Source organism: Homo sapiens, chromosome 9 (assembly GCF_000001405.40).
Source record: "Homo sapiens chromosome 9, GRCh38.p14 Primary Assembly".
Lineage (NCBI taxonomy): Eukaryota > Metazoa > Chordata > Mammalia > Primates > Hominidae > Homo > Homo sapiens.
In genome coordinates, this window is record NC_000009.12 from 6629773 (window position 1) to 6650160 (window position 20388).

The 20388-nt window shown below is 46.9% G+C and overlaps 1 protein-coding gene and 1 pseudogene across 1 annotated transcript in view, besides 16 other annotated features; one reads left to right on the plus strand and one right to left on the minus strand.

The window, feature by feature from the left end:
- The window catches only part of GLDC (glycine decarboxylase), a 113263-nt gene extending 97306 nt beyond the window's left edge, over window positions 1-15957 (minus strand). Inside the window, exons 1-2 of the mRNA NM_000170.3 lie at window positions 15473-15957; window positions 14842-14920 (exon numbers count right to left, since the gene is read on the minus strand). Of these exons, the coding sequence (NP_000161.2) occupies window positions 14842-14920; window positions 15473-15727 (334 nt within the window). The 5' untranslated portion in view covers window positions 15728-15957. The remainder of the gene's footprint in view (window positions 1-14841; window positions 14921-15472) is intronic.
- Window positions 918-1047: an enhancer, noted in NCBI's record as "active region_28188". NCBI's record gives its function as "activates an Ori minimal core promoter by ATAC-STARR-seq in GM12878 lymphoblastoid cells {active_cell/tissue: GM12878}" and the evidence as "EXISTENCE:reporter gene assay evidence [ECO:0000049][PMID:35858748]".
- Window positions 918-1841: a biological region, named in NCBI's record as "H3K27ac-H3K4me1 hESC enhancer GRCh37_chr9:6630771-6631613".
- Window positions 999-1841: an enhancer, noted in NCBI's record as "H3K27ac-H3K4me1 hESC enhancer chr9:6630771-6631613 (GRCh37/hg19 assembly coordinates)". NCBI's record gives its function as "activates a minimal SCP1, AML or CMV promoter by ChIP-STARR-seq in primed H9 embryonic stem cells {active_cell/tissue: H9 hESC(primed)}" and the evidence as "EXISTENCE:reporter gene assay evidence [ECO:0000049][PMID:30033119]".
- Window positions 1398-1477: an enhancer, noted in NCBI's record as "active region_28189". NCBI's record gives its function as "activates an Ori minimal core promoter by ATAC-STARR-seq in GM12878 lymphoblastoid cells {active_cell/tissue: GM12878}" and the evidence as "EXISTENCE:reporter gene assay evidence [ECO:0000049][PMID:35858748]".
- Window positions 1508-1557: an enhancer, noted in NCBI's record as "active region_28190". NCBI's record gives its function as "activates an Ori minimal core promoter by ATAC-STARR-seq in GM12878 lymphoblastoid cells {active_cell/tissue: GM12878}" and the evidence as "EXISTENCE:reporter gene assay evidence [ECO:0000049][PMID:35858748]".
- Window positions 2725-2774: an enhancer, noted in NCBI's record as "active region_28191". NCBI's record gives its function as "activates an Ori minimal core promoter by ATAC-STARR-seq in GM12878 lymphoblastoid cells {active_cell/tissue: GM12878}" and the evidence as "EXISTENCE:reporter gene assay evidence [ECO:0000049][PMID:35858748]".
- Window positions 5812-6312: an enhancer, noted in NCBI's record as "H3K4me1 hESC enhancer chr9:6635584-6636084 (GRCh37/hg19 assembly coordinates)". NCBI's record gives its function as "activates a minimal SCP1, AML or CMV promoter by ChIP-STARR-seq in naive H9 embryonic stem cells {active_cell/tissue: H9 hESC(naive)}" and the evidence as "EXISTENCE:reporter gene assay evidence [ECO:0000049][PMID:30033119]".
- Window positions 6313-6813: an enhancer, noted in NCBI's record as "H3K4me1 hESC enhancer chr9:6636085-6636585 (GRCh37/hg19 assembly coordinates)". NCBI's record gives its function as "activates a minimal SCP1, AML or CMV promoter by ChIP-STARR-seq in naive H9 embryonic stem cells {active_cell/tissue: H9 hESC(naive)}" and the evidence as "EXISTENCE:reporter gene assay evidence [ECO:0000049][PMID:30033119]".
- Window positions 9353-9892, plus strand: RPL23AP57 (ribosomal protein L23a pseudogene 57; annotated as a pseudogene).
- Window positions 15167-15724: an enhancer, noted in NCBI's record as "H3K27ac hESC enhancer chr9:6644939-6645496 (GRCh37/hg19 assembly coordinates)". NCBI's record gives its function as "activates a minimal SCP1, AML or CMV promoter by ChIP-STARR-seq in naive H9 embryonic stem cells {active_cell/tissue: H9 hESC(naive)}" and the evidence as "EXISTENCE:reporter gene assay evidence [ECO:0000049][PMID:30033119]".
- Window positions 15405-15474: a silencer, noted in NCBI's record as "silent region_19767". NCBI's record gives its function as "represses an Ori minimal core promoter by ATAC-STARR-seq in GM12878 lymphoblastoid cells {active_cell/tissue: GM12878}" and the evidence as "EXISTENCE:reporter gene assay evidence [ECO:0000049][PMID:35858748]".
- Window positions 15515-15714: a silencer, noted in NCBI's record as "silent region_19768". NCBI's record gives its function as "represses an Ori minimal core promoter by ATAC-STARR-seq in GM12878 lymphoblastoid cells {active_cell/tissue: GM12878}" and the evidence as "EXISTENCE:reporter gene assay evidence [ECO:0000049][PMID:35858748]".
- Window positions 15785-16034: a silencer, noted in NCBI's record as "silent region_19769". NCBI's record gives its function as "represses an Ori minimal core promoter by ATAC-STARR-seq in GM12878 lymphoblastoid cells {active_cell/tissue: GM12878}" and the evidence as "EXISTENCE:reporter gene assay evidence [ECO:0000049][PMID:35858748]".
- Window positions 16705-16814: an enhancer, noted in NCBI's record as "active region_28192". NCBI's record gives its function as "activates an Ori minimal core promoter by ATAC-STARR-seq in GM12878 lymphoblastoid cells {active_cell/tissue: GM12878}" and the evidence as "EXISTENCE:reporter gene assay evidence [ECO:0000049][PMID:35858748]".
- Window positions 16865-16964: an enhancer, noted in NCBI's record as "active region_28193". NCBI's record gives its function as "activates an Ori minimal core promoter by ATAC-STARR-seq in GM12878 lymphoblastoid cells {active_cell/tissue: GM12878}" and the evidence as "EXISTENCE:reporter gene assay evidence [ECO:0000049][PMID:35858748]".
- Window positions 17951-18506: an enhancer, noted in NCBI's record as "OCT4-NANOG-H3K27ac hESC enhancer chr9:6647723-6648278 (GRCh37/hg19 assembly coordinates)". NCBI's record gives its function as "activates a minimal SCP1, AML or CMV promoter by ChIP-STARR-seq in primed H9 embryonic stem cells {active_cell/tissue: H9 hESC(primed)}" and the evidence as "EXISTENCE:reporter gene assay evidence [ECO:0000049][PMID:30033119]".
- Window positions 18507-19062: an enhancer, noted in NCBI's record as "OCT4-NANOG-H3K27ac hESC enhancer chr9:6648279-6648834 (GRCh37/hg19 assembly coordinates)". NCBI's record gives its function as "activates a minimal SCP1, AML or CMV promoter by ChIP-STARR-seq in naive H9 embryonic stem cells {active_cell/tissue: H9 hESC(naive)}" and the evidence as "EXISTENCE:reporter gene assay evidence [ECO:0000049][PMID:30033119]".

The following is a 20388-nucleotide window of genomic DNA, read 5'->3' on the forward strand; positions in this document are numbered from 1 at the left end:
CATATATATATATACCCACAATATTGTTATCATTTATATTTTAAAAATAATTATATGTGCATCTGTTTATATATTAGCAGAACATCTTTGTGATGATTCACAAGAAATTGATAATAAATACAAGATAATAGATGTGGGAGGGAGGCTTGCTTTTCACTATATATATATATATGTATATATATATATTTTTTTTTTTTAAGAGAGACAAGGTCTCACTATGTTTCCCAGGCTGGTTTCAAACTCCTGAACTCAAGCAATCTTCCAGTCTCAGCCTCCCAAAGTGCTGGGATTACAGGCATGAGCCACCCCACCTGGTCTCCCTGTATATATTTTTGTGCTTTTGAGTTTTGAACAATGTGCCTATATTGTGTATTTGTAATTAAAATGTTGGGAGGCTGAGGCAGGAGAATGGTGTGAACCCAGGAGGCGGAGCTTGCAGTGAGCCGAGATCGTGCCACTGCACCCCAGCCTGGGTGACAAAGCGAGACTCTGTCTCAGAAAAAAAATAAATAAATAAAATTAAAATGTTGCATGTAGAATGAAATCCTCCTTGTAAAATACATGGGTACATGGGTGTACATCCCATCAGTCCCAGGCATCAGTAGGCCATCCACAGACCATGTTCTGGGGAGCCCAGCCAGCAGCGCCTCACACACAGCAGCCACTAACCGCGTCAGAGCCTCCCTCACTCTTCGCCCTCCATGTGCTTGGCAAGACACTAGGAAAAGGTCTCCAAGGAAATCATCAGGACTGAAAACCAACACACTCATATTTGAATTTGCCCAATGTCACCAGTTTGAGAAAGGCCTTTCTCTGCTAGAGGGTAAGGGGAAAGCTGGGGCCAGAATGTGAGGACAGAGACTGCCTGGGCAGATTGTTCTTGCCAACATCCTAATCCTCAGCTGTGAAGCTGAGAGGGAACCATGGGGTGGGGCTGGGGTGTCAATCAAGATAAACAGACCATGAATGACAGCATGGCAGGACTTTCTCATCTTTCTGAAGGGAAGTCAGAATTTGGAAGCAGATTCCATCTGCATGCTGATCCTTTCCCCAACATCACCCAGTCATTTATAGCACTCCTTTCTCTCCCCCATAGCCACCTGGATCAAGCCCACTTACGCAGTCCATAGAGCCAACTCCCTGTTACTTGTCAAGTTTCCTCCCTGGGCAGAGGAGGGTTTCACTAGCCAAGTCAGCTGAATCACGGAATGTGTTGAATCGTTCGAGAAAGCCAAGCCAATCCATACGCTACGCTCTGCACAGCGTACAGAGGAAACTGAACCTAAAACCCTTGCAGACCAGCAGAGCTGTGCCACGTGTAAGGATATGGTCAGGGCAGCGGCACGCAGGCCCAACCTGGGGCTCTGAGTCTCCTTGCTCTAAGCCTGCCAGGCTCTTCCCTGTCTTCTTGCTCAGCCAATTAATACCACGCCTCATTCAGTCCTTCCTGACCCTCAGGGGTTACCGCTCTCCTCAGGACACCTCCACTCAAAAGGAGCTGAGGCGTGTCCCATCTATGTTTCTGATGACTCCTTGGTCCCTTGTCTCCGTATGAGTGAGCAGTCTCTGCAGCTCTTCCTGATCACCCGAGAGATGCATAGCTTCAAGACCCTACCAGCTGTAGCAAAACCAAAACAACATTCACTGTGGGGAGTGGGACAAGGGATGATATGTCTTGTTATTTTACTCCTTGAACTTGGATCATACTCCTTCCTGTGGGAGGCCCCTTTTCATTTAATCTACAAATGTTAAGAAATGTACAGAGAAACATTGCAATTCATAGTATTTATCTGGAATACCAGCTGACCTATGTATTCAGGCCAAATGCTGAGTTTGAAATGAGAATCAGTGCAGGTCCCAGAGGATTTGTTTTCCCTCTTTGCTGCCCCAAAGGTACATTGTCATGGCCTACAGAGCAAGAACAAGAAGGGAAGACTGTGTCCTAAGAGTCCAACTCAAACAGTGTATCATGCTTGAGAAAAAGATAATTTTTTATAGATCAAAGGCATATGGGCTGGGCACAGTGGCTCATGCCTGTAATCCCAGCAATTTGGGAGGCTAAGGGAGGAGGATGTTTTGAACCCAGGAGTTTGAGACCAGCCTAGGCAACACAGCAAGACCCCCGTCTCTACAAAATGAAATAAATTAGTCCATGTGGTAGCACATGCCTGTAGTCCAGATACTCAGGAAGCTGCAGTAGTGGGAGGATCTGTTTGGCCCAGGAGGTTGAGGCTGCAGTGAGCCATGATCATGCCACTGCAGTCCAACCTGAGTGACAGTGAGACCCTGCCTCAAAAAAAAGTCATATGGAGAAATTTGCAGTCCAACCGAGAATCACACCAAGTAAATTGTAATCTCTTATAGTAAATGCTCAGAAAATACAGGTGAATCAATGTGTTGCAATGAAAATTCACCTAAACTTTCACGTATGGCTAGCCCAGGAACTCACCCATCACAGACTCATGATGATGAATCAATGCATAAATTGTTCTCACATTTGGTTCAACTACATCCCAAAATGTGTGAGCCTCAGAGAAACATTTATCAGTGGAAACCTGCAGCTATTAAGAAAGTTGTATAAAATAATGCAGTGTCTACAATAATTTCAGACTTCCCAAAATTTTATTTCTTCATTGTTCAGTCAGTTAGTATGTTGATGATACAGGCATTGAGAATTCTTACTAAAATTCTCAGTTTGCATTTTTGTATGAATACTCTGGACTTACAAAAAGTAAAGCAAACTTGAGTCAAAATGAGATCAAAGTTATCCGTACATCGTATAACTGAGACTTGTTTAAGCAAGGCACAGTGCTATTTGATGGAGTGGGGAAGAGGACATGAAGAATAGAAGTCACAACACAGATTCGCCCACAGCGACTCACGTCCCTATTCTCTAGCACGCGCCCCGGTTCAGCCCGGGCCCTCACTCCCAGCCTCCTGAGGCGGGTCACTGAGCTTGCAGGCAGAATGTGGGTGGGGCTGCCCCACCTCTCTCTCAACCTCACTGAGCTGACTAGTGGACCTTGAAGTCCTCCCCTCGGCTGAACTCAGTCACCACATTTCTCTGTTCCTGCTTCCAAGTCACTGACTGATGGTGGGGTGGAGGACACTCAAACAGGCCTTACAAATTCCCGCTATTCAATCTCAGCAGACCCTCCCTGCAGGCCGATCGAGGGTCCTCGCCACCCAGATGCTCTCAGCAGACCCTCCCTGCAGACCGATCAAGGGTCCTCGCCACCCAGATGCACACAATAGCTCTTCTGAAATTCACTTTTCCCTAGTACTCAGTCTCAGCCTTCCTGTCTCTCATGCAGAGAGATCGTCAGAAATGCAGCCCCTCAACTCCTCCCACCTCGGAGGATCCTTATGTCTTTATGCAGACTTTCTTCCCTCTTCTGCCTAAGAAAGGTCGAGAATACGACACAGGGGTCCGTAACTCCCTGCCTGAAAATATATCCTTCTGCCTCTGATGACTTCATCTCAGACTGCCCTGCCTCTCTCCTTCTGCATGTTTTATTTCCTTATATCCTGGCTTTTCTTTCTTCCCCACACTCCATCCCTGGGAAATTTCACTAATTCTCATGAATTTGTCGGAAAACTCACTAAATCTGCAACTCCATCTCTTCTCTCTCTGGATCTCTAGACTCTACTTTGCAACTTTTGCTTCAACTTTTCCAAATGCATGTTCCACGAATACCTCAAACCCAATTCTGCTCAAGCAAGACCCAATCTCTTCTTCCACTTCTCCCTGTTCCCCCTCTGTTAATCAATGACATCAACATCACTACCCCATCTAGAAACTGACTGACAGCCTCATCTCCTGCCTCTCTGGATCAACCACCACGTCTGTACAAAAACCATGCTTCTGGCCAGGCACAGTGGCTCACAACTGTAATCCCAGCACTTGGAAGGCCAAGGAGGGTGGATCACCTGAGGTCAGGAGCTCGAGACCAGCCTGGCCAACACAGCAAAACTCCATCTCTACTAAAAATACAAAAATGAGCTAGGCGTGTAATCCCAGCTACTTGGGAGGCTGAGGCAGGAGAATCTTTTTTTTTTTTTTTTTTTTTTTTTTGAGACGGAGTCTCACTCTGTCGCTCAGGCTGGAGTCCAGTGGCACGATCTCAGCTCACTGCAAGCTGTGCCTCCCGGGTTCACGCCATTCTCCTGCCTCAGCCTCCCGAGTAGCTGGGACTACAGGCGCCCGCCACCAGGCCCAGCTAATTTTTTTGTATTTTTAGTAGAGACGGGGTTTCACCGTGTTAGCCAGGATGGTCTCGATCTCCTGATCTTGTGATCCACCCGCCTCAGCCTCCCAAAGTGCTGGGATTACAGGTGTGAGCCACCGCGCCCGGCAGAGGCGGGAGAATCTTGAATCTGGGAGGTGGAGGCTGCGGTAAGCCAGGATTGCACCACTGTACTCCAGCCTGGGCAACAGAGTAAGACTCTGTCTCAAAAAGAAAAAAACAAACAAACCCAAAACCATGAGTCTCATGCCTCTAATTCCAGCACTTTGAGAGGCCAAGGCAGGCGGGTTGCTTGAGCTCGGAGTTCAAGACCAGCCTGGGCAACATGGCGAAACTCCATCTCTACAAAAAATACAAAATGTAGCCGGGCATGGTAGCTCACGCCAGCAGTCCCAGCTACTAGGGAGGCTGAGGAGGGAGGATCGCTTGAGCCTGGGAGGCAGAGGTTGCAGTGAACTGAGATCGCACCACCGCACTTGAGCCTAGGTGACATAACCAGACCGTGTCTCAAACAAACAAACAAACAAACAAACAAAAAACAAAAAAAAAACCCGCCATGCTTCTCCTGGGCTGCCCGAAGCCAGTGACTAAGCTCTGCCGGAAAACTAATGCAGACTCATTCATTCTCTGGAGATATAAGACTCCTCCCATGGGCAGCTGTAGCTCCAGGACTCCATGTGGGCCTGATGGAAACTCTCTTAGATCTGTTCTGTACTGTAAGACTCTTCCTACCCAGTCTTCATTCTGCTTCTCTCCCCTTCCACCAAAGTTAGACCTGCATTAGTTTGGAGGCTCCCCTTCCCTCTCCCGCTTCTCCCCCTCCCTCTCCTCTGATCTCAGAGGCACTCTGCAAAACACAGGATCAATCCTTCCACTTCCCTCTATAGTAACTTTTCCTGTCTACCCATTACTTAGAGGGGGGAAAATAAATCCCTTTTGGCTCTGAGCCCTCCATATTGTGGCCCCATACCTTGTTTTTCATGTCCCTCTGCAATCTAACATTCTAACCACATGGTCTATTCACCGTCCCTCAAATAACCACGTATTTCCACACTTCCATGCCTCTGCTCATGCCATAACTTCAGACGAAGTCTCCATCCTATTTGCAGACCCATCAAACTATTCAATATCTATTTCCTTATAAGTTATAACCTATAGCTGGGGATATCTTTATCATCTTTTACCTCCTGACTTTTGTACACCAAGTGCCTGAAGCAGTATCTTATCTTCTACATCTGACTCTCAATAAGTGCAGAATGGAAGCAGATGGAGGAAGCTGTAGAAGGAGATTTGGCAATAGTACCTTAATAACCCACTGATAACAAAGGTGATAGCAAACACCAATCCAAAAACCAAAAGCTAAGCAGTCTAGGGCACTTTATGTATGGGCAAATGGTCCTATGTACCATAATAGCCCTCAAGAATAGCACTATATTTATAATACAGTATAATTGATTTCAGTTTGATAGCACTGAATATGTTTTGAGGTTAGAGTAAGTTATAGTCATACCGCTGCACTCTAGTCTGGGTGACAGTGCAAGACCCTGTCTCTAAATAATAATAATAATAGGATCTGGGTGTGGTGGCTCACACTTACAACCCCAGCATGTTGGCAGACCAAAATGAGAGAATCATTTAAGCCCAGAAGCTTGAGACCAGCCTGGGCAACATATTGAGACCCCCATGTCTACAAAAAAATTTAAAAAATTAGCCAGGTGCTGTGGTTCTCCTTGTGGTCTAAGCTACTTGGAAGGCTGAGGTGACAGGACTGCCTGAGCCGGAGAGGTCGAGGTTGCACAGAGCTGTGATCATTCCACTGTAGTCGAGCCTGGGTGACATAGCAAGATACTGTCTCAAATAAAATAAATAAAATAAAATAAAAATAAAATGTTTTAAAATAAAAATGATAATAATGAACAGATGTTATACTACAGTTGTCTAAACCCCTAGAATGTGCAACACCAAGACTGAATCCTAACGTAAACAATCTTCACTTTGGGTGAGGCCAGGCGCAGTGGCTCACCTATAATCCCAGCATTATGGGAGGCCAAGGTGGGTAGATCATCTGAGGTCAGGAGTTCAAGACCAGCCTGGCTAACATGGTGAAACCCCCGTCTCTACTAAAGATACAAAAATTAGCCAGGCGTGATAGTTCATGCCTGTAGTCTCGCCTACTCAGGAAGCTGAGGCAGGAGAATCGCTTGAACCCAGGAGGCGGAGGTTGCAGTGATCTGAGATCGTGCCACTGTACTCCAGCCTGGGTGACATAGTGAGACTCCGTCTCAAAAAAAAAAAAAACACTTTGGGTGATAATGATGCATTAATGTAGGTTCAATTGTAGCAAATGCTCTGGTAGGCAATGCTGATAATGGGAGACTCTACGCTTGTGTGGAGGCAGTGGGTTTAATGGGAAATCTTTGTAGCTTTCACTCAGTTTTGCCATGAACCTAAAACTGCTCTAAAAAATAAAGTTGGTCGGGCAAGGTGGCTCACGCCTATGATCCTAGTATTTTGGGAGGCAGAGTCGGAAGGATTTCTTCCTGAGCCCAGGAATTCGAGACCAGCATGGGCAACACAGTAAGATTGTCTCTAGAAAAAATACAAAAATTAGCCGGGCATGGTGGCATGCGCCTGTAGTCCCAGCTGCTCAGGAGGCTGAAGTGCGAGATCACTTGAACCCAGGAGGTCGAGGCTGCAGTAAGCTGTAATCACACCACTGCACTCCAGCCTGGGCAACAGAGTGAGACCCCATCTCAAAAATAAAATTAAAAAACCCAAAATAGTCCAGGCACAGTGGCTCATGACTGTAATCCCAGCACTTTGGGAGGCTGAGGCGGGCAGATCACTTGAGGTCAGGAGTTCAAGACCAGCCTGACCAATACGGTGAAAGCCCATCTCAACTAAAAATACAAAAATTAGCTGGCTGTGGTGGTGGGTGCCTGTAATCCCAGCTACTCGGGAGGCTGAGGCAGAAGAATTGCTTGAACCCAGGAGGCGGAGGTTGCAGTGAGCCGAGATCGTGCCATTGCTCTCCAGCCTGGGTGACAGAGCAGAACTGGTTTTGTTTGTTTTTTTTTTTAAAAAAGTCCGGGCACAATGGCTCACGCCTGTAATGCCAGCACTTTGGAAAATCCCAGCACTTTGGAAGGCCGAGGCAGGCGGATCACTTGAGGTCAGGAGTTCGAAACCAGCCTGGCCAACATGGTGAAACCCCGTCTCTACTAAAATATACAAAAATTAGACAGGCGTGGTGGCAGGTGACTTAATACCAGCTACCTGGGAGGCAGAGGCAGGAGAATCATTTGAACCCCGGAGGCAGAGGTTGCAGTGAGCTGAGATCGAGCCATTGCACTCAAACCTGGGGGATAAGAGCGAGACTTCTCTCAAAAAAAAAAAAAAGATACTTTATCAAGATTGAGGGTTTTTTAATTTTGTTTTGTCTTGTTTTTTGAGATGAAGTCATTCTGTCGCCCAGGCTGGTGTGCAGTGGCGCAATCACAGCTCACTGCAACCTTCTCTTCCCTGCAACCTCCACCTCCCAGGTTCAAGCTATTCTCCTGCCTCAGACTCCTGAGCAGCTGGGACAACAGGCATGCACCACCACAGCCAGCTAATTTTTGTATTTTTAGTAGAGACAGGGTTTTGCCACGTTGCCCAGGCTGATGCTGAACTCCTGGCCTCAAGTGATCCATCCGCCTCAGCCTCCCAAAGTGCTAGGATTACAGGCATGAGCCACTGTGCCCAGCCAAGACTGAGATTTCTAGTTTGGGATTCTAATTTTAATAAGAAAGGAAAAACTGATCATAATTTATTTTAGGACTCAACACATTAAAAATTTTTTTTTACTTTTTTTTTTTCAAAGAGACAGGATGTTGCCCAGGCTGGTCTTGAACTACTCGGCTCAAGCAATCCACCCACCTTAACCTCCCAAAGTGCTGAGATTACAGGTGTCAGCCTGTAATCTCATCACTTTTAAAACAAATATTTTCACCCCTCCACTTTTACCATGATATACTTCGACATTTATCTGAATATCCCCCAAATAATTGATAGCATAATTATTTAAGATTCCATCAGGGATGATCCCGCAACAACATTCAAGTGCTTGCCGAATTATGTCTTGCACATTGCATTTCTCCATTTCCTTTTTCTCAGTGAAGGTACTGCCTTTGCTTGAGTTTTTGTTTGTTTGTTTGTTGTTTTTTTTTTTGAGACAGAGTCTCACTGTCGCCCAGGCTGGAGTGCAATGGCGCGACTTAGCTCACTGCAACCTCCACCTTCCGGGTTCAAGCGATTCTTCTGCCTCGGCCTCAGCGTCCCAAGTAGCTGGGATTACAGGCATGCGCCACCACGCCCAGGTAATTTCTGTATTTTTAGTAGAGACGGGGATTCACCATGTTGGTCAGGCTGGTCTTGAACTCCGGACCTCAGATGATCCACCCGCCTCGCCCTCCCAAAGTGCTGGGATTATGGGCGTGAGTCACTGCTCCCAGCTTCATCTTTGCTTCTTTACATTGAGAAGATATATTCCAACTCTTAACTCTGTCTTTCCATCCCATTTCACATCATTTCTGAACGCTCATGACATTTTACCCACAGCTTTCATGGCACCTAGAACTTTTTAACTGTCTGTCTGATCTATTTATATTAAGAAGGTAAGATGTAAGCCCCTTGGAGATAGTGACTATGTTTATTCAAATGTATATCCTCACTGGGCACGGTGGCTCCCGCCTATAATCCCAGCACTTTGGGAGGCCAAGGCAGGCAGATCACGAGGTCAGGAGTTTGAGACCAGCCTGACCAACATAGTGAAACCCCGTCTCTACTAAAAATATAAAAACTAGCTGGGCATGGTGGTGCGTGCCTGTAGTCTCAGCTACTCGGGAGGCTCAGGCAGGAGAATCGCTTGAACCCAGGAGGCAGAGGTTGTGGTGAGCCAAGACCGTGCCACTGCACTCTAGCCTGGGCAACAGAGCGAGACTCTGTCTCAGAAAAAAAAAAAAAGTATATCCTCAGAGTGTCTTTCAATAGTAGTCAGTAAACATTTAACAATTAGGCAACAAGGTGACAGTCCAATCTGCCTATTGAGAATTAATGACAAAAACAGAGCTTTTTCACAAGATGGCGCCGAAAGCGAAGAAGGAAGCTCCTGCCCCTCCTAAAGCCGAAGCCAAAGAGAATGCTTTAAAGGCCAAGAAGGCAGTGTTGAAAGGTGTCCACAGCCACAAAAAAAAAGAAGATCCGCACATCACCCACCTTCCGGCGGTCCAAGACCCTGCGACTCCAGAGACAGCCCAAATATCCTCGGAAGAGCGCCCCCAGGAGAAACAAGCTTGACCACTATGCTATCATCAAGTTTACGCTGACCACTGAGTCGCCATGAAGAAGATGGAAGACAACAACACACTTGTGTTCATTGTGGATGTTAAAGTCAACAAGCACCAGATTAAACAGGCTGTGAAGAAGCTCTATGACAATGATGTGGCCAAGGGCAACACCCTGATTCGGCCTGATGGAGAGAAGAAGGTATATGTTCGACTGGCTCCTGATTATGATGCTTTGGATGTTGCCAACAAAATTGGGATCATCTAAACTGAGTCCAGCTGCCTAATTCTAAATATATATATATCTTTTCACCATAAAAAAAAAGTATATATATATATATATATGGACAAAACAGATTCTGCTGTGAGGGACTACATATACAAATAGACAATTACCAGACCATATTTAAAAATAGAACTTTCACCCACACCTGTCCAGGAAACTAACCCGCTTACTTAGAATAAACAATCAAGGAAGCCAGCCTGCTACAAGTTAGACTTACAGAGAAAGCCAGATTGCTATCTCTAGTGACAATCCAGGAAACCGAACAACAACTTCCCTAACAATTGGCCCCAAATGGCCAGAACTCGATTAATAACTGATAGCTTCCCTAATTTTTGTCCCACTTCCAACATAGGACCAACCAGGCTAAGCCAAACATGTACCCATAACCAATCACATCAGTTGCCCGACTTCTAGTAAATCCTCAGACAGCTTCCCTTGTAAACAACCTCCAATCAGAACACACCTAAAGGCTTCCCTTTTTTCCACAATAAAGCTTTCCTCTCCTCTGCCAATATGCAAGTCTGACTCCCTTGCTACAGCAAGCTCATTACAGCCTTTGTTTCTCTCATTTAGCTAATCTTTACTGTTACAGTCATTTAATGGAAATTTATTGGAATCATCCTAAAGAAGAAATAATAATTCCTATAAGCTGGGAATTGAATGAGTCGGGAATGGCCAAAGGAAAGCCTTGTCACAGACTGCGGGGCCTACAGGCAGGACCTGGCAATGGGCATCATCTGGCTAAAGACAAGTCGTGGCCTCGGCCTGGGGAACAGCTGCCACGGCCTAGTTGCCCCTGGGGTCAGTTCAGGAGAGTGCGCAACCCAACTAGGGTGACAAAGCCAACACCTGCAGCTGCATTACACAATGCTCCCTCCCTCCGCTCACTGCCCTCCATTAACCATTTAGTAGAAATCACTCTGGAACATTCAGCTGGCACAAGTCCATCATTCTGACAACTCATCTCCTCAGTTCTAGTTGAATAATGTGAACATTGGAGGGTTTAGTTTCTCCTCTCTCTTCCACAAGCAATGTGCAATTTTGTGTAAACTTTAATCCCTGCAGTTTATCTATGATTAGTTCAGTCTAGTTCAGTCTAGTTGCCTTGAGATGAATTCACTGAAAAGACTACACAGCGAGGCATACCATAGCTAAAAGTAACTGGCTTTGGTCATAAAGTAATTTTTAACTTTGAATTAATTATAAAATGAATACCTACACTGCAGAAAATTCCAAAACTGCAAAGTAATTAAAGGAAAGCTAAAACCACTAATAAGGGCACCATTCAGAGAAATCAGTGTTGCCAGTGACACATATCCTTCTAGTCCTTTTGTTGTTGTTGAGTGCGTGTGGATGGGGAATGCAGGATTCACTTGAGCAGGACAGGATTTTGAACTGAATAGCTTTGCTTGTTTCTCTGAATAATGACTTACTTAGCAGCCAGTTCATGATCAAAGTATTTTGTCAAGGCACTTTCTGAATTGTCCAAGAAGAGGGGGAGCATCCTTAGTGACTGATGAACCACCCGTCCTCCCCTGGTTCTGTCCGGCCATTCTGTCCTATACATGTTAATCCCACTACCTCCAGCAGCCTCCCCCAGATTTATCTAGCAGAGCATCACTGCTCATTCTTCAGTATTGCACTTCCGTGACCCCTTCCCTTGCCCTAGCAGCAGGCTTGAGTGTTCCCACGTCTGTGCTGCCAGGAAGCTGCTGCGTTTCCACTGGGGCAGTTGGCATATGGCAGGGTGATTCTAGTGCAACTGGGTTTGTGCACATCTGTAAACTGGATATTCCAGGTGAGTCAGGACAGAAGTTTTCCACTTTGTACACCCACGACCTTGCAAAGGACAAAATGAAGAGAGAGCAAAGTAGTGGATGGAGTGTGGACAGTGGAGCTGGGCTGCCTGGGTTTGAATTCTGCCTCCATCACTTACCAGCTATGACCTTGGGCAAGTCATGCATCATCTGAATATCACGGTTTCTTCATTTTTAAAACAGAAGTATTAATGGTATTTTCCTCATAGGGTTGTAATATACATTAATACATGAAAGCACGTTAAAGAGTGTCCAGTACATGGTAAGCACTACATAAATGTCTGAGATTACTGAGTTATGTGTAATAAGTAACCCAAGTATTTCCAAACTGATCACAATCTTTACTCTGCAATGAAGACATTTAACACTCCTATAACTAGCTCTCACTACAGTTTTCTCTGTACATGGCAAATAAATATTTAATCCAGAATTCCTTTCTGACTACACTAGAACACAGGCATTCACATGAAGCCAAGTTTGAGTAATGGTGCTCCACTATTAAATGGAAATGCTACTACCAGAGCTTACATGCACCAATTTGCTCTCCCCACCTGGAGAATATTCATTCACCATGACACGTGCACACCTCAGAGTCAAAATTCATCCTTTGCAGATGCATCCTCCTCCACTCTCCCAACACCCCCAGCTCACTATTCCAAGAAACAAGCTTTGTTGGAGAACTGGTCCATTTCAGGGAATGGGGGGACTTCTGATTGTGCAATATTTTCTGCGTGAATCATCCCAAACTAGATGGAACAAGCTCAAAATGTCACAGAAGCTGCTAGGTTTAAAATTTATATGGCATGGGCATGGTGGCTCATGCCTGTAATCCCAGCATTTTGGGAGGCCAAGGTGGGTGGATCACCTGAGGTCAGGAGTTCAAGACCAGCCTGGCCAACATGGAGAAACCCCATCTCTACTAAAAATACAAAAAATTAGCCGGGCATGGTGGTGCACGTCTGTAATCCCAGCTACTCAGGAGGCTGAGGCAGGAGAATGGCTTGAACCGGGGAGGCAGAGGTTGTAGTGAGTAGAGATCATGCCACTGCACTCCAGCCTGGGCAACAGAACAAGAATCCATTTCAAAAATAAAAATAAAAAATAAAAAAATTAAGTTTATATTCAAGTTGCAAATTACTTTTCAGGAGCCCACTTCCACAGTGAAGAATCAGAATCCCTTAATGTTCAAATTATTCAGCTGGAACCAAGAACTAAACTAAAAAAGGATACACAACTTTGCCATGTTTCCCAGGCTCTAATGCTCTGAAAAGAACACTTTATTTTAGAGTATATATATTATAAAAATAGCTAACCTAAACATTCCCTGACTTTGAAAGTCTCAGGAAGGGATTCACTTGTTCAAATATTCACCTAAAATACCCTGCTTTAAAGATACACAACTCTTCACTCTTCACACATCAAATGAATTAGGATTCTGATTTTTTCTTTTCTTCCTTTCTCTTTTTTTTTTAGACAGGGTCTCACTCTGTTACTCAGGTGGAAGTGCAGTGGAGCCATCTTGGCTCGCTGCAACCTCCACTGCCCAGCTCAAGTGTTTCTGCCACATTAGCCTCCGGAGTAGCTGGGATTACAGGCGCACACCACCACACCCGGCTAATTTTTGTATTTTTTGTAGAGATGGGGTCTCGCAATATTGCCCAAACTGGTCTCAAACTGCTGGCCTCAAGCGATCCACCTGCCTAGACCTCCCAAAATGCTGAGATTATAGGCATTTGCCACCGTGCCCAGCCAGGATTCTGATTTTCTAAAATGGAAATAGATAAGGCTTCCCTCCGACCATCCCTAAATCTCAATTAGTTCAATTCAGCAAAACATGCAGGTTTTCAACGACCATCAGATTTGAAACCAACAAAGGCAGCAGCCCTCAGCATAGCCTGAGCAGCCAACCTGAAGCAGATAGGCTCCATACCTCAAATGTCCACCTTCAAACAAAATAAAGCTTGCCATCTGCACACTAGATCCTTTCTATCATAGCAACAAAATAAAACAGCTGCTCTCTCTTCATTTGACTCTAGAAGAAAAAGAGATAAGTATCTCCATGATTGAAAGTGAGATAACCAGATGAGATTTTTTTTAAGAGCTCAGCCTGTGCCCTTGACTTATGGATTGTCCCCCCACCCCATGGAAGTCAAATACCCACATAAAAATACCCCTGAAAAGCAATCTTGGACCATTAAAAATATTTTAAACCTAAAATAAAATTCTAAGAAAGTCTATGACTAAACTGACCTTTCTTAAACAAATGTAAATCTTATTTGTGTGTTTTTCTAGAAAAACCATTCGGGGTAGGGCACAGTGACTCGTGCCTGTAATCCCAGCATTTTGGGAGGCCGAGGCAGACGGATTGCCTGAGGTCAGGAGTTCGACACCAGCCTGGCCAACATGAAGAAACCCTGTCTCTAATAAAAATATAAAAATGAGCCTGGTGTGGTGGTGCGCCCCTGTAATCCCAGCTAGTCAAGAGGCTGAGGCAGGAGAATTGCTTGAACCAGGGAGGCGGAGGTTGCAGTGAGCCGAGATCAAGCCACAGCACTCCAGCCTGGGCGACAGAGATTCTGTCTCAAAAAAAAAAAAAAAAAAAAACGAAAAAAAAAAGAAAAGAAAAGAAAAACCATTCGGACTCGAAAAGTACTGCTGTCTTTCAGTTGGTAAATAATAAAATTTGGACGTGAGGTAAGAAAACAATTGGAAGATACTGCGATCTAAAGAAGCCTGGGGGAGGGAGGCGAGATGTCTGGTCACTTCCCCAGTTGCACGACCTTAGGCAATTCCTAGATCCTTTGAGTCTATCCGGGTCTGCGCAGGTAATGACACCTCTCAACCCAAAGTATGAGAGCACCCTGGCCGGTGAGAGGGTGCCTGGGAAGTGGGGAATCTGCTACAAAACGCAGGGGAAGCTCGCGGGGGCCCTAGGATAAAGACCAAGAACCGCACAACACCGACTCTCTCCTAACACAAAACTGTCTGCTCCGAGAACCAAATATCCCACCTTCCCGCGGCTCCGGAGGTACCCGCCACTGTTTTATTTTAATCCACACATTCCCAGTCCTGAGCAATCCTTACCCCAGAGCTCGATTTTCAGGGAACCACAAAAGACAAATAGGCCAGAATAATCTAAGTCCAAGGGAGCCCTCCCGGCCACTTACAAACAGGGTCTTCCATTTTCAAGGGTCTTTTCAAACGGATGTTGGCAGGGACCGTCTTCTCGATCAATTCATCAATGCTCTAAAATTAAAACGCAAGGCAGAGGAAAGTGCCTCTGAGTTAAAAGAGTCACCTCTGTGTTTTGCGACTACAAAGCCTTGTGGGAACCTCATTGAAATCGCCTAATTAGGGTTCTTTTTAAAAGAAAAGGAAAACTCTGAGCAAGCCAGAATGATTTGGAGGAAAGAAAATCGTGAAGTGGGGTGGAGATTCCGCCACTCGGGGTTGGATTTCAGTTGCAACCGGAGCTAACCGGTAAGCCCACTCTTAATCAGGGGGTCTTCCTCCTCTTGCAAAGTTTAGGTCCATCCACAGGGCCACTTGGGCTGGGGGTGGTTTAAAAATGTACACTTTTGAGGCACGAAGACTGGGTGCAGGAGAAAGTAAGCTGTTAAGAAGTAAGAAGGCACGAGGACCAAAGGCACGAATTTGCTTCCACGCCACGGCCCGGGACCCAGGGTGCGGGGACCACGCGGAGCGCAGCAGAGCTCAGGGTAGGAGCCGGGAGGCCGCGCAGGCAGAGCCCGGGCAGGGCGGAGGGGAGGCCGCGGAGGGCCGGGTGGAGGTCCTTACCGCCAGCCCCAAGGTCTGCAGCATCTCTCTCTGGTCTTTGTCCCCAGGGCCGATGTGCCTCCGAGCGAAGTCGTCGTGTCTGGGCAGAAGGCGCTCCAGGAGGCGCGAGGCCCCAGCCGCGGCGCTGTCCCCGCCGCCACTGCTGCTGTCCCGGCTCCGCGGCGCCCAGCACGGCCCCGATCCCCCAGCCAGGCGGCGGCCGCCCCCGACCCCGCGGCCCAGGCGCAGCCCCCACGCCCTGGCACAGGACTGCATGGCCGCGGCCACCGTCCCCTGCCCCGGCCCGCAAGGGTCAGCCGCGCTCTTGGCCCCTCTCCTGGCCTCGGTCCCCCGGGTGGCGGCTGCGCCCGGCCTGGAGCCCCTTTCGCTGGACAGTCGGCCGGACAGATGGATGGACGCTCGCGGGCAATGAATGGGCGCTGCGCTCAACCAAGACACTCGCGCAAAGTTGTGGCTCCACCCAAGGCACCTGCTCCGCACACTTTAAGCGGCGCCCTGGAGGCGGGAGGTGGGTTGGGGCCAGGAAGCCCTTGGCCAATGAAAGTAGACAGAGGGGGAGGGGGCGGAACAGTTCCCGCCCCCGCCCCCTCTTCCTACCCTCTTCCCAGCCCTTCCGTGGAGTCCCGCTTCCCCTGGACCGGAGGCTGCCATCTCCAGTCCTACCCACTCCGACGCTGGCTGGTGCCGGGGGCCGGGACGCTCCGTACGCCGCCCGCCAGGGTGTGGAGCCGCACTGGGGCAAGATCAGGTGGGACAGCCCAAAGACTCCGGGCCAAGTTCCTGGGGGACTCGGCGGAGATGGAAGATGATTCTCGAAGCTCTCCATTTCCTTAATTTTGAGGTATCTTTCTCTGTCACATTTCATCTCAGGGAAATTAATATGGGCAGATGGCGGTTCTTTTATCTTTGCGGGAGCGTGATAAAGTTACTCAACCTCTCAGAGCTTCAGTTTTCTCATCTCAACAGAGCTGGATGGGATTTTAAAAAGAGATTATATGTACATGGAAAGCACTTGAACAGTAGATTTGAACACCCTCTCTATATTTCTTTTCTTTTCTTTCTTCCTTCTTTCTCCTCCTCCTCCTCCTCCTCCTTCTTCTCACTCTCTCTCTTTCTCTCTCTTCCCCCCCACCACATGTAACGCTATGGCTCACGCCTGTAATCGCAACACTTTCGGAAACCGACGCGGTAGGATAGCTTGAGCCCAGGAGTTCGAGACCAGCTTGGGCAGCATTGTGAAACCCTGTCTCTACAAAAAATACAAAAATTAGTGGGGCGTGGTTGCGTGCTTCTGAAGTCCCAGCTACTCTGGAGGCTGAGGTGGGAGGATTGCTTGAGTCAGGGAGTTTCAGGCTGCAGTGAGATGTGATCGCACCACTGCACTCCAGCGTGGGCCACAGAACGAGACTCAGGAAAAAAAAAAAAAAAAGAACTGTGTGTGTGTGTGTATATGTTTTTTTAAATATATGTACTGTATATACATATACGTGTGTGTGTAAAACTACAAAGGATATTTTGTTGTTGTTTTTGAGACGGAATCTCGCTCTGTCGCCCTGGCTGGAGTGCAGTGGCGCGATCTTGGCTCACTGCAACCTCCACCTCCCGGGTTCAAGCGATTGTCCTGCCTCAGGCTCCTGAGTAGCTGGGACTACAGGCACGTGCCACCACGGCCGGCCATTTTTTATTTTTATTTTTAGTAGAGACGGGGTTTCACCGTTTTAGGCAGGATGGTCTCGATCTCCTGACCTCGTGATCCGTCATTACAGGCGTGAGCCACTGCGCCCAGCAAAAGTACAAAGGATATTAAGATAGACATTGTTCACTGTCGTCTTACTTTGAAAGTTAGCCATCTAGAACTGGATTTTTTGTAAATGTACCATCTCCAGCTGTCTCATGACAGTTTTAGCAAGAGAATGAACTTTTAAAATTCCAGTTGTTCTAATATGGGGAAGAGAGGACAGAAGTAATCAGAACATTACTTGTACTTAGACTAGGGGAAAATAAAACCTGTTCTCTTTCTTGCTTATCTGCTAAGTTTCCTCCTCCAATCACCCTTAACAGATTCTGGGCTCCGTACCCAGGAGGCACAGACTATCCAGAGAGGCAGGAAAGTAGAGATGGAAAAGAGGGCAGGAAAATACACCACAAAGAACAGTAGGTAAAATGTCTGTATGGCAGACGGAGGCGGGTGGTGAGCTAGGACGGCTGGGCTGAATGTCTCCGAAAAGTTTTTCGGCCATTTGGAATTGAAATTACAACCTTCATAAAAGTTGGGAGATCTCCTCAGTGCCAGATGGTGGGGGTTGTGGGGAAGGATTGGAGGGAGGAGGTAATCTGCATTTATTCCTATTCCTGTCTATGTTGTTTCTATGTATCAGAGGGACTGGAAGCCAGGGAACAATAATTCCCAGATCCCTTTGGCTCCGTGGTGATGGATGTTATTTGCCTTCTGCCAAAAAAAAACATGTATATATACACACATATATGTATATGAGAATTGGGGCCGGGTGCGGTGGCTCACTCCTGTAATCCCAGCACTTTGGGAGGCCGAGGCGGGCAGGTCACTTGAGGACAGGAGTTCAAGACCAGCTTGGCCAAGATGGCGAAACTCAATCTCTACTACAAATATGAAAAAAAATTTAGCCAAGTTTGGTGGGCGTGCTTGTAGTCCTAGCTACTCAGGAGGCTAAGGCATGAGAATCACTTGAACCTGGGAAACAGAGGTTGCAGTGAGCGGAGAGCGCACCACTGCACTCCAACCTGGGTGATAGAGCAAGACTCTGCCTAAAAAAAAAAAAAGAGAGAGAGAGAGAATTGGGAAATGGAACAAAGGTAAAAACTGTTTTCTTATTTTCTGACTGCAGCAGACAGATGCATGGACCACTGCAGACATGACATGCTTCCTTACCAGCACCCCATCTTGAGGTAGCTGGGAAGCTGTATCCACCAATGGGAATGTCCTGCAGTTCCCCAGCAGGAATTTCTGTGTACTAGACTAGAGCTTCAGTGGTTGACCTGAAGATAGCGTTGGTATTCCCTGGTTTTTGCTCTTCCAGTTCTTCCAGTGGTTTTGTATGCACCCATTCCTGACATTTAATTCTCCTCTGCTTGAAATGCATTGAGTGTTTTTTGTTTATTTGTCTGTGTGATGTTGTGAAATACATATCTGGTATTCATCCCATTTCCTGGCCTGCAACTCCTAAAGTCTTGGGAATCTCCAGACTCCTGCCTTTTTGTATGCTAATGTGACTAACAGCTTCAGAATAGGGCTGGTCACTGGAAAGACAAAGACATAATGGGAGTTGAGACTTTCAGCCCCACCCTCAACTTCTCAGTAGGGCAGAGGGTCAATGATCAATGCTTAATCAATCATGCCTTCCTAATAAAGCCTCTATAAAAACCCAAGAGCCGGACGTGGTGGCTCATGCCTGTAATCCCAGCACTTTGGGAGGCCAAGGCTGGCGGATCACTTGACGTCAGGAGATTGAGACCAGCCTGGCCAACAGGGTGAAATCCCATCTCTACTAAAAATACAAAAATTGGCCGGGCGCGGTGGCTCACGCCTGTAATCCCAACACTTTGGGAGGCCAAGGTGGGCGGATCACAAGGTCAGGAGATCGAGACCATCCTGGCTAACACCGTGAAACCCCATCTCTACTAAAAATACAAAAAATTAGCCGGGCGTGGTGGCGGGCACCTGTAGTCCCAGCTACTCAAGAGGCTGAGTCAGGAGAATCACTTGAATCCGGGAGGTGGAGGTTGCAGTGAGCCAAGATCATGCCACTGCACTCCAGCCTGGGCAACAGAGGAAGACTCGGTCTCAAAAAAAAAACAAAAATAACACACACACAAAAACCCAAGAGGAGAGGTTTCAGAGAGCTTCTGGATAGCTGAATACACACAAAGTGGCACATGGGGAGAGGCCATGGAAGGTCCTCACCCCTTCTCCCATACCTACCTCGCCCTGCGCATCTCTTCATCTGTGTTACTTGTAATATCCTTTATAAAAAATCAGTAGACATAAGTGTTTCCCTGAGTTCTGTGAGCTATTCTATCAAATTAATCAAACCCAAAGAAGGGATCATGGAAACCCCAGCTTCAAGCTGATCCGTCAGAAGTTCTGGAGGCCTAGAATTGCAACTGATGTCTTGGGGACTGAGCCCTCAACCCTTGGGATCTGGCGGTATCCCTAGATAGAGTGTCAGAATTGAAGTGGAGTGCACCCAGCTGGTGTCTGCCTCAGAACCGACTGCTTGCTTGTTGGTGGGGAGAAATCCCCATATATTTCGGGATCATGGAAGTCATCTTCTTCTTTCTGTTTTTCCATTGAGACAGAGCCTTGGTCTGTTGCCCAGGCTGGAGTGTAGTGGTGCGATCTCAGCTCACTGTGACCTCGACCTCACAGTTTCAAGCAATTCTCCTGCCTCAGCCTCCAGAGTAGCAGGGACTACAGGCATATGCCACCACACGCACTAATTTTTGTGTTTTTTTTTTTTAGTAGAGATGGAGTTTCCCCATGTTGGCCAGGCTGGTCTCAAACTCCTGACCTCAAGTGATCCGCCCACCCTGGCCTCCAAAAGTGTTGGGATTACAGGCATGAGCCACCACGCCCAGCCAGATCATGGAAATCTTCTGTGTTGATTGTTGTAGTGTGGTGTGAGACCAGAGGAAGCACAGTTATAGTGCTTTTTCAAAACAGTTAGTTTTCCTGAATAAACCCAAACAAAGGCTATAATGGAAGCCAAAAGCAGATTGAGGAGGGCTTAATGTTTGGGTGAAAAAGGCAAGAGATTCCTGAGAGACACATTCACTCCCTGCCATTGTATGAGCTTTCAGGGAGTTTTTTCCTTTGCCTCCCCCTTTTCTTTTTTTTTTGAGTTTTGCTCTTGTTGCCCAGGCTGGAGTGCAATGTCCCG